Raw genomic sequence first — 11,761 nt, forward strand, 5'->3', positions numbered from 1 at the left:
AAAATACAACCATAAATAAGATCATTGCCCTCAAGTGCAAGTAAAGCAGATGAACAAAAAACAGATATATGCTCAGAACAACGAAAAGAAATCACAAATTTCCATTCCTAAAAAAGTTTTCCCTTTTCCAGGAAACTATAGTAGAAAAGATAAAAGGAAATAAGACCATCTCTTTAAAAATATTAGGAAAAGTTATTGCAAAGTCGATATTTAAAATAGCAAAAATTGGCCGGGCGCAGTGGCTCATCCCTGTAATCCCAGCACTTTGGGAGGCTGAGGCAGGTGGATCACCTGAGGTCAGGAGTTTTAGACTAGCTTGGCCAACATGACGAAACCCCATCTCTACCAAAAATACAAAAAATTAGCTGGGCGTGGTGGTGCACGCCTATAATCCCAGCTACTGGGGAGGCTGAGGCAGGAGAATCTCTTGAACCTGGGAGGCAGGGGTTGCAATGAGCAGAGATCGTGTCACTGCACTCCAGCCTGGGTGACAGAGCGAGATTCCGTCTCAAAAATAAATAAATAAATAAATAAATAAATAAATATAAATAAATAAACAGAAATAAAAATAAAATAAAATAAAATAGCAAAAATGAAGGAATTTGTCCTGAAAGCCTATCAGAACCTGTCAGGAGAAGGTGTTGAAGTTCTCATTAAGTCCGTGGTAGCCAGATAAAAACAGCTTTACAGGAGAGTAGATTCATTTTAATTGGAACAGGTCCCTGAGGAAAAAAGAAGTGCGTCACTGAAGTTACTATCTAGACCAACGGTGGCTTTGAGTCTAGACTACTCAGTGAAGCAATCATTTTCTTATTTCATTAATTCTTCTTAAAAATAAACTTAGTCTGGATTCTCTGGAAACAAAAACTATAAAACTTGTGTATTTAACGGGAAGCGAATGTGTATGTTATGAATTCATTTGTCTGGAAGTCTGGAAAGTATTACTGAATGTGGTGAACATTTATCAATTTCAGCAACAACAAAAAAGCACACAAGATCAGCAGTGAATGAGACGAAAATCTTTTAGGGAAGAGATTAGATTTCATCACCTATTTATGATCATTAACTTGCTACAAATTGAGTAAAGTCTACCATATAGTACATCTTCAAATAGTCACTGAATGAATGCAAGATTTTTAAAAATAAGTAAAGGGCAGTGTTAATTAAGCTATATGTGTGGCATTTGATTATTATTTATTCACAGGAATCTGTTCCTTGGCTGTTATCCCATTTATTCAGTCATGACTTTTATCTGGCCATTAGTCATGGATTGATCTCATGTTTCAGAGCTTATAGCATATCTAGTATGATACATTAGAAAGACACCTTCCATTTATAATCATGTGTTTATGTCAGAAATTTATGACTGCCTTATCAAATAATAAAAAAATTATACTTTTCCTTTTGTTTCAATATGTAAATCCTTTTTCCTTGCTCCAGATACTATAGGTTATAAATCTGGTAAGACATGTATATACATAAGTAGGGGGTGTGCTTGTTTTCTAGGTTGAATTAGTTTATGTAACCATCTATATTTAGAGATTTGGGGGACCTCCTTAAGAAGGAACATTCTAAGCAATCATTTTCTTGTAAATAATTTTCCAGGAGGCAAAACAAGGTTTTGGCCTGTCCTGTACATAATAGATAAATTATGTTTTGACTAGAAGTTTTTTTTTATTCATCAACTGGTTCTACCTCCGGAGTTATGACTTTTAAATATTATCCACGCACTGAATGTTCTCAATATTCAAAATAAAATTTAATGAGATACAACGTGTAAGTTTCTGGTTTGTAAGATGTAGAGCAGTTATTCTCATTGTTTCTGAGAGAACAGTCTTATTGCTCATGCCTTGTGTATTCCCATTTCACTCATTCTTTTGGATTTATATTCCTTTTAGTCTGTGTTCTTTTCTCCTGTCAAAGAAACCAGGCAAAATAAAAACAAGCAGTGACTAATTTCATTTTAATATAATTCTTACACCAAAAAGCATGAGAAACATTTAAATGAGGAGAGAAAAAAAATCAACCTTGCTTTGACAACATAGGAAAGTGAATTTGAAAGTACATGGGGCTATGAAATCAGTAGTCATATTTTATTGTTCTCAGGTTCTCAAATCATTTTATTTCTCAGACGTAGGACTTAAAGAAAAACTTATGAAAGCAAGTGGTAAGTTGTCTTGCTCTCTAGCCTGTTGACCTCATGAAAACTGTGAATACAAAATTCAAATTGCAGAGTGTCCCAAATATTTGGATTCTATAACTATTAAGATGCCTTCCAACCTGAAATTCTGTGATTCTACAGTGGAACCACTTGAATTTGATTTGAGAAAGGAGATATCTTTACACCTTGTATATGATGTATTAAGTTGATGGTAAGTAGTTGTTGTTTGACAGGGGGACATGTTGACCATGAGTGTGTCTGGAGCTATATTTGAAAAAACGAGTTTGTGCTGGGATTCCAAGTATATCTGTTTTGGAATCAGTAAGTAGTGTGACTGTAGTTATATTAATTTACATTGATTGTAGATTTATACCACAGACTGTCCTCCTAAAACATAGCCTGAGGAGGAAAAACACTTAGCTAGAATTAATAGCTTGGGAAATTGTCTGTGGTTTTTGGCACTTAAGGGGTAAAAAAGGCAAGGTGGAAAAGAAATCTCCTCTCATTCCTCCACCTCCATCACTTCTCACATCCAAACAATGACAAAGTCATGCTAATGCTTCCTAAACATTCCATAAATCTGGCTTTCCTTTTTAGTCGTCATCTCTACAATTACTGTTCCAGTTCAGTCTCTTATCCACCTCTCCCCTGGACTCTGCACTGTCTATATAAGTTCTCATTTCTTTTTCTTTGCTTATGTTACTTTCTTTGCCTAGAATATTTCCTCCTTTCTAATTACCTCATCCTGTGTCTGATTAATTCCTTTAATCTTTTAAGTCTCGATTCAGGACATTCCTCTGAGACTTAGTGTCAGTTCTTTTGCAAAAGACTCTCTGTGTCCTTTAGGAAGTTTGGGGGCCCCTTTTCCGTTCAATATTATGGGTATAGCATGCTCACTGCACTCACTACGTTGCATTCGACCCTTCTGGAGAAGAGGGGATCTATCTTAGTTATCTCTGTGTTCTCTGAACATAACAAAGTACTTGCTCCATAATAGTTGCTCCATAAAATATTTCTAGAGGGCCTGAAGCTTGCTCTGAATTTCCACTCTATAGTATCACTAGAGTCCGCTGTTCTTCCACAAATATTTCTTGTCTAAGTTGCATTATCATTCATCTCTACACTGTTATCTAGCCATATCATCTCTCTACTTTCATTACCTTTTCATAATTTTCAAGGAACATTCAGGGTGAATTTAGAACTCTGGTTTACCCCTTATAATACCCGTGGATCTGGCCTTTGCCTATTTCCCTTTCCAGCCTCCTCATTCTTCACTCTTCCACATGCATCTCTGACACAAATAAATAGAACTACTTGTGCTTTCTCATAAGAAACATGTGTTTCAAGCTTTTATGACTGCACATACAATTTCTCTTTTGCCTAAAACACCTTCCTTCCAATGCCTCCTTCCTTCATCTAAATCCTGTCCCTTTCTTGAATTATCAACTTTCTTGGGAAAGACTTCCCAGAGCCACTTCCACTCACATCACCTCCCCAAATCTTAGCTACTGCTCTCTTGTGTATTCTTATTGCACCCTGTGCTTTTTCTGTGAAATGCCTATTACACTTCTATTACTTCACCAACCTTGTCATTTTCTGTTTCTATTTCTTCTATGTAAGTATAAGCTCCTCAAGAGAAGAGACTGTGTCTGCTTGGATCTGTGTTTTTGGCACTCAGTACAGTATTTACCATATACTATAAGCTCAGTTGTAAAGGAGAGAACAGGAACAGAGAAAAAGAGAAGGAGAAGAAGAGAGAGGAAATGGCAATAGGCATGTACTAATTTCCAGATATTTGAAATCATTCCAAATAGTGAATTTTTTAAAAATAAACAAGGATCTCAGTAGCTGACTGAATACTGTTCTCTCTGTTTCTGTAATGTTTTATAAAATAAAAATTAGTTTTATAATCAAAATATGTTTGATCGTCACAAATGAGTAAAAAAATTTTGATATTTCTATCGTTAAAGCTCCTAGAAGTTCATGAAGCTAGGAAGTAAGAAAACCAGAATGTCAATCCATCTGATTTACACAAATTGGGATTATCTGATAGCACAAATAGGACTGGCTATGTAATTTGTGGGGCCCAGTGAAAAATGAAAATGTGAGTGCTTTGTTCAAAATTATTAAGAATTTTAAGACAGCAACAGCATAGCGTTAACAAGCTTAGAAACCTCCTAAGTGCAGGGCTCTGTGCAATGGCAGAAGTCATACACTAGTGCAGTGGCTTTGACATGCCTTTCCATAGTTCTAAGGTGCTCTGCTGTTGAGTGCTAAGAATGCCGCTGGCAGCACATTTGCCAAAAGCAAACATTTTCTTGTTGGATTAGGCAACATCTGCCTTGTTGGACTAAAGAGCGAACGTATTAACAGTTAAGGACCAAGCACAATGTGGGATAAATGTTTTGATTATCTCATGAATCCTCACAATAACCTTGCTCATTCACTATCCCTTCTGTCTAAGCCACCTTTCTTTCAAAATCTTCTTCACCCAGGTGAGTCCTATACCTCTCTTAAAGCATCAACTACTCTGGGAAAGACTTCTTCAAGCCCATTCTTCTGCCTGGTCTAAATCATTGCCCTCCTATATATTTCACCCTCTTCTGCTCTAGTGGGTCACTCATGTTGATTTTACTCTGTTTATGTAAGAGTAAATTGAGGCTAGGAGAGTAACATAGCTAGGAAATAAATATTGTTGGCTTCTAGCTCCTTTCACGACTAACTCAGCCTTCTTTTATGCTACTCTAACCTGCTGGAGGTCACTTGTCCACTTAGTGTTCAGCATTAGGCATCCTTGCCATCTTACCTTTTATGCCCCTAGAAGAAACACACTGAAGGCTGATGGAATGATAGCCTTCATCTAGGTAGAAAGTGACACACCATCACACATATGTATCTGACCTGGGTTTTGTGATCTGGTGAAGGTATATGACCCAGTGCATCTGAGCGTAAGTAGGCATCATTATCTCTCCAGAGTTGGGAGCAAAAAGATGAGCTTAGAACACTCATCTATCTCTTTTATCTAAGAGTAATACTTACCAAGCTTTCACATGAATCTGAAAAGGAAGGCCAATATTCCACACTTTCTGGGAAGCTAGAAGACAATATTAGCATTACTTACAAGACTTGATTTGCTGAAACGCTAAGTGCTCTTTTTTTCTTTACTTTTTTAAAGTGACAAATAATTGTACATATTTGTGGGGTTCATAAGGATGCTTTCATACGTTAATGTCATATTGCAACTGTTTCAATGGCAAAATAGGCATTTTACTATGATATAATTTTTAAAAAGCTTGACTACAATTTAAATGTAAAAAATACATATTAAGATGTAATGTATGGGTCTCTACCTTTAAAAATTAGGATTAATATAGAGAGGATCGGGGTAGAGATTAGTACTTGGCATGTAACAGAAGATATGTGAAAGGCAAAACAGCTTCTTGAAATGTGTTAACTGGGGAGCCATCATCACGTGAACATTTTTCATAGTTTAATTGGCTTAATTAATTGAAAATGAGGTAATTGATTTTTAGAAGGTGTTTAAAAAGTATGGTTAAGGATGGAAATTTTATAAAATGAATTCATAAATCTTTGATAATCCTTAAACAGAATAAGGAAGTGTTGGTTTCAGTGAACTTTCCATTAATCCTGTAAGCCCACATGAGGTTAAAACAATGAGACCGTTGTTTGCAACCAGATGTTAATTATCCATAAACGGTAGTGTGGTTCATAGTAATACAGAATCTAATGTGGAATTAATTTAAAAAATCAAAAAAATCAATTATCTGAGTATATTGGGAGGAAACCTCAATGAAACGAAGGAGATTCTACATGGGTAGTCCAAGGAATCTCACTAGTTGTTAAATAGCCTGTCTCTAGAGGTTTTTCAGCACTTATCTCCATTGTGACTAGAGGAGGAGCATTTATATCTTAACTACAAAGATATGTGTGCAGCTGAGACTGACACATCTAATAAAGGACTGCTTCGCTGCATCTGCCAAGGTCTCTTGGCAAGGGCTTTGGATCCAAATACTAAGATTTCCTAATATTTCCTGAATGGGTACTCTTTCAGAAGCATAGCAATATTATCGCCTATCCTTCCAATTCAACCACTTAGCTTCTCCTTCAGTATTAGTGTAATGGGGGTCATACTTTGAAAAATTTAACTATGCATTCTTCTTTAGCTTTCCAAGCAAATAACATTTATTATAGTTGTCCCAAGAATTTATGAAACCTGGAGAAGATTAAAGTATGTTATTGCAAATGGAATGATGTAATAGCTTCTGACATGGAAAATAAGATTTTTCAAATTTCTTGTTACATTTCAGTGTACCAAGAACACTGGTGGATGAAGACAAAGGAAAGATGTTACTAATCCAGCCAAAAATGTGTGTCCTTATTTTTCCTTCCTTGGGCTCCTGCTCAAAGACCTAAAAAAGAGTAAATAAATGAGAGTAAATGAGGCCAGAATTGGATTTTTATGCCCACTTCTTACTTGAAGCTCTGAGCTTTGCAAGCTATTCCTTACATGATCTTATGAGATAAATGTTATTCTTATTTTTACAACTGAGGCAAGTGGAGATGAGTAATTTATTCAAGATTACACAGATGGCACAGAACCTGGATTTGAACCCAGGACAGTTTGATTAACCACTCTTAATCGCAATACCATAGTGCTTCTCTGTGCTGCAGTGGGGAACACAGAGATGCTAACATTTTTAAAACTTACTTAAAATTATAAAAAAAGAAAGTCCATAAATTTTCACACTTTTATATTTATGAAATAAGTGAATTTCTGATCATATTTTTTTTTAGCTGGTGTGATACCAGGGTATAGCATTTGCTATTCTGGTTTAGTAATGTATTAAAATCTATTAAAATTGTGTGTAGTAGAATCAAAAATTTTAAAATGTAACTTGGACTTCTGTGTATCATGCTAAAAAACAATTTGAAACATACTTTTGCTCAGTTGCATCTCAGCTAAAAGTATTTTTTTCTTATGTGACTCTCTTGAATAGTTTTGTAATTATTGATGATTGTTAATGATGATAACATTTCTGGTCTTGATTTATCAAGTACCATAAACATTCACAATAGATTTGTAATTTCCTCAGAGTTTCAGGAATTAAATTAATTGCCACTATAAAAATGATTTTTGAAGCTCTTCTAGGAAGGGTACTTTGTTTATATTCTAGCTATTTCCTGAGGAATGGTGTAAATATTTCATAAATGTTTGGGAACCAGACTTTTTACGCCCAGTCTCACTATCCAACACATAAATTATCTCTTTCATCTAGATATTATTTTTTACTTTTAGGTACTTAGCTCTTTATTTACATGTTTTAAAGTGTGTTATTTCGCAGTAGTTTATTTGAACTAAATGAGATATTTCTGACATCAACTTTTAAAACTTGATGGTTTCTCTTGGATTTTTTTTTTTCGTAGACTTGCTGTCTCTAGTTCAAGGCTTGCTTTTGCTTGTAAACCTATAATGTTACAATTAAATGATGTAGCAGTTCAAGTAATGTTAACTACCCTGGATTAAAATGCTCTCAGGCAATTAAACGGCAGTTGTAAATCATTGGAATTTGGAAAAATAATCAGTGTCGTATGATAGTTGCATGACACATGATGGATCTGATTTTTAATATATGCCATCTTGATTAGAAAATGAAGATGAGCCTTCTGTAAAATGTCATGCATAAGATAGAATTAAGTAGAGGAAGGAAAAAAAGAACAGAGAATATGTGAATTTTTATTTTCCAGAATAGTTAGGGGAGGCAAACTTTAACTCAGAAAAGTGATAGAACTGCAACAATTCCATTAAATCAGTTATACTCACTGTGAAACACAAGTCACAGTTTTCGTTTTACTGTGGTTAAATGAAATAAACATTGTATTTGATAAAAGCAAGTAAAAGTCATATACACAACTTGAAATGACTCAATTAAATACTCCAGCATTGCCTTCCCCGTGCTTAGCTGGTATTGGTGGGGCTTCCTCTTACCTTTTTAGCTGTGTCTCTCTCCATATAGATATTTTTATTATCACCAGTTATTCGCTATTTTGTTCAAGATTGATTTGGTTTACTTCTATATATCTGTGATTATATACAAATAAGGTCATAACAAACACTAGTGTTTTTATTTTTCAGGAAAATCTCCAAGAGTTGGTGAATCATGCTGTTGCCAATAATAGGCATGTGACATAACTGAACATTTCATCATCTTCAGTAAATAATCAAGATGGTAAGAATTATACAGGATGTAGCATAGATTGTTAAATTTGTGAAAGTAAGTTGTAGGCTATGTTAGTTAGAATTAGGTTTGCCTGCTACTGACAGAAAACTCCAAATAACAACGTCTTAAACAATATGGATGTCTTCTTCTTCAAATAGAATCTAATGTCACCTTTGCAGAGATGACATGCTGGGTCTGTGATCACCAGGGATCCAAATGCCTTCGATCTTGGTGCTGGCTCACAATCACCAAGTGGCTTCCACCTCACAGTCTGCTGTGGTTGATTAAACTCCAGCATCTTATTGATGTTCTAGCTGGCAGAAACGAAAAAGAACCCAACAAGGGCAAGGTTGAATTACAAAGAAAGGAGAAAATATCCATTGGAGGACTACTATCAACCTCTGCCACAATTTCTACATTTTCTCAACGTATGAAATTTTAAAGTATACTACTAAATTTTAAAAATTATTCGTATTCATATTTTCAATGGTAAAACTATCGAGCATTCTGTTGTTTGTGCCAATTGTTTTACCAAAAATTTTAGATACAAGAAGAGACATTTATAACACAAGGTGTTTCTAACTGGAAAGTAAGCCCTGGAAAAATTTAGGAAACAAGAGAGATGTGAAACGTGCTTTATGTTATTGTGATTTTGAAATCTATTTTTTGGAAAAACTATGCTTATAAATAATTGAAACTTTAAGAGAGGTTGAAGACAGTGGAGCACAATTAAATTTTGTGGTTAGAAGGTTGCATTTCTAAAAAAAAATGTTTACTATTGAGAGGGCATTACAGTGCTATGAGGGCAGGAATTTTCGTTCATTTTCTTCACTTATATTTTTTGCAACCAGAGTAGTGTGTCGAACACAGTAGGGGCTAGATAAATGTTGAATTAATGATTGATCAATTGGTGGATTAAATTAGAGTAAAAGATGAAGAAACATTTCTTTTTATTTATTTATTTATTTTTATTATACTTTAAGTTTTAGGGTACATGTGCGTAACATGCAGGTTAGTTACATATGTATACATGTGCCATGTTGGGTGAAGAAACATTTCAACACATGAATTACAAGCAGATTTTTACAAAAGAGCACACATTTAATACTAAATTTGAAAATTCACCAAACATAGTAATAACATCAGTTTTTCCTTAGCTTATTCGATAATACGAGAAAACTGTGTAGGGAAAGAACAACTTGAGTACATATAAAACCCACTGAAGATGTCAAAATGTATCCAAATTTAAAAGAGGCTCTTAAATTTTATCAAGCTAAGAGAAGTCTGGGACTAAGCAAGAATTTATTTGTAGCAAGTCACAAAATAAAAATAAATTATGTGGCCTAGACTGCAACAGTCATAAAATTGTGGGAATTTTAATGAAGTTCTTTCTGAATTTAAAGAAAACCACAGAGGTTTCCTTATCATTATGCATGCCTTTTGCATTTATGAGTGATAATGTTTCATGAGTAAGTAAAAAAGTTGTAAAAATCCTAAATACTGTATGTCTTTATATGCTATCACTCAGAAATATGCAAAAAGATAAACACTTCCTCACAATATGTAAGCAGAACAAAGGCATTAGAAGTAAGCTATGCAAGTTGTAAAACATGGGTTGACATGTACTTAGTCTTATTTTATTGGTATAATTGAGACACATCTGGAGATTACTGAGTCTTGAAATATGCAGATGACTGATGAATTAAGTGTTTGGCTGACAGATTTCAAATTTGAAATTATAATTTCTTTAAAATGCTTATTTAAAAAAAGTCTTCTGTTGTGATTAGAATTCTTTTTCAAGGATGGAAATGTAAATATATTATGGATCCTTTTCCTTGGCCTTCAACAGAGAGCCATGATTTCATTTTTTTGTCAAAGAGAGACAATAAATATTTTAAATATATTTGGGAAAGAGAGAAACTATATGTCACAAACCAATCTCTATCTAAATCTTTCAAAGTACACATGCCCTGTCTTTAAAACAGGCAATTCATAATGAATTTTTCTTACTTCAAGGAATGAACTCATATCAAGTAACATGAAGATGTTCATTGAGAGCAGGGTTCAGTCTGTTTATTCACTGTATTCTCTGAACCTGGAACAGGTTCCTGGCACATAACAGATACTTAATACATATTTGGTATACAGGTGATTGAGTGAATAAATTAATAAATGAATGAACAACTAATCATATGCATATGTAATCCTAGAATTCCAATTTTACTAAAATTCTGCAAATTATGACTTCATCTATTATGTCAACATAATTTTTTCATTTTATGTATTTAAGGTGGCATTCATCATAACACTCAGAGCTGGCATTTAATGTTTTGAGTTGGCCAGTCATTACAGCAGGAACAAATGATTCACTTCCATTCTACTTTATCCTTAAGAGTACTTTAAGAATACTATAGAGAAAAATAAAATTAGTGCCTGCCATTAATGGATATTGGGAAATAATTGGTAACCAAACTGATGAACTCAGAAGGGCTCAGTGGCTCTGGGGTGAGACTTGCCACATGGCGGATGCTTCATTAATCATACCTCTAATAACTTATTGTTGCAATTTCATATATTCCCATAATTCACATTTCTGATTTTAGCTGGTCACTTCTAATATATATTGCTTTGGTTATAAGTTGATGCTATAATAACACTGTTGCTGAGAAGGACATTAGCATGATTTTATTAAAACCTTCCAGTATTATTAATTAATAATCTATTTGAAAGATATAAGCCAGAAATTTCTCATAAAGCTTTTGTTTTGTTTAAAGTCCTTGCTTAGAGTAACCACTATTACCAGTTCCAAGCAATCACCACTATCTCATAGACAAACTTGAATTTTAAGTATTACAGTTCAGCCCATTAGGCATCTTGGGGATGAGAATATAATCATTTTAAATTGGTTGGAGAATTAAAGTTACAGAATAAGACTGATGGCCAGTTTCTAGAAAGTAGCATTCCAGGATATCTAAAGGAAACCTAATGAAATTGTGGTGCAGCCCTCTGCTGAAATTATTCTCCTGTCATTATCAATGGATGCTGTGCCAATTTCCCTCACTTCTAGTCATTTATAAAGTCTCTGTTAATTTTATAGTATTGCACTTCCACTCTTCACTCAAGATTTATGTTCTTCTTGTCCCTTTCTCTCTGGCAGCTTTTACTTTTACCCTTCACTTTTGGCACTTCTGTTTTTTAGTAGTCAGTATTTTTTGGTACTCAGTTTCTGGCTCCCTTTACATGTGTTTTGGGTTTGGAGTGTTCCTTTCTTCTTCCGAACTCCTTCTCCTCCTAGGACAGTGTGGGTCTCACCCTGAAAAGGAGAGGCTGTGTATCGTTCCCATCTCATAACATTTTTCAA

The 11,761-nt window shown here is 34.4% G+C and overlaps 1 long non-coding RNA gene across 1 annotated transcript; it reads right to left on the bottom strand.

Annotated features, from left to right (window-relative positions):
- Window positions 1-1,735: 1,735 nt before the first annotated feature.
- Window positions 1,736-8,657, bottom strand: LINC02468 (long intergenic non-protein coding RNA 2468). Its single transcript, NR_146523.1, has 4 exons — window positions 8,572-8,657; window positions 6,495-6,591; window positions 5,201-5,255; window positions 1,736-1,914 (listed from the first exon to the last, which is right to left on the bottom strand). It is a non-coding gene; the product is annotated as a long intergenic non-protein coding RNA 2468 (long non-coding RNA).
- Between the last annotated feature and the right edge of the window lie 3,104 nt (window positions 8,658-11,761).

This window comes from Homo sapiens, chromosome 12, assembly GCF_000001405.40.
Source record: "Homo sapiens chromosome 12, GRCh38.p14 Primary Assembly".
Classification (NCBI taxonomy): Eukaryota; Metazoa; Chordata; class Mammalia; order Primates; family Hominidae; genus Homo; species Homo sapiens.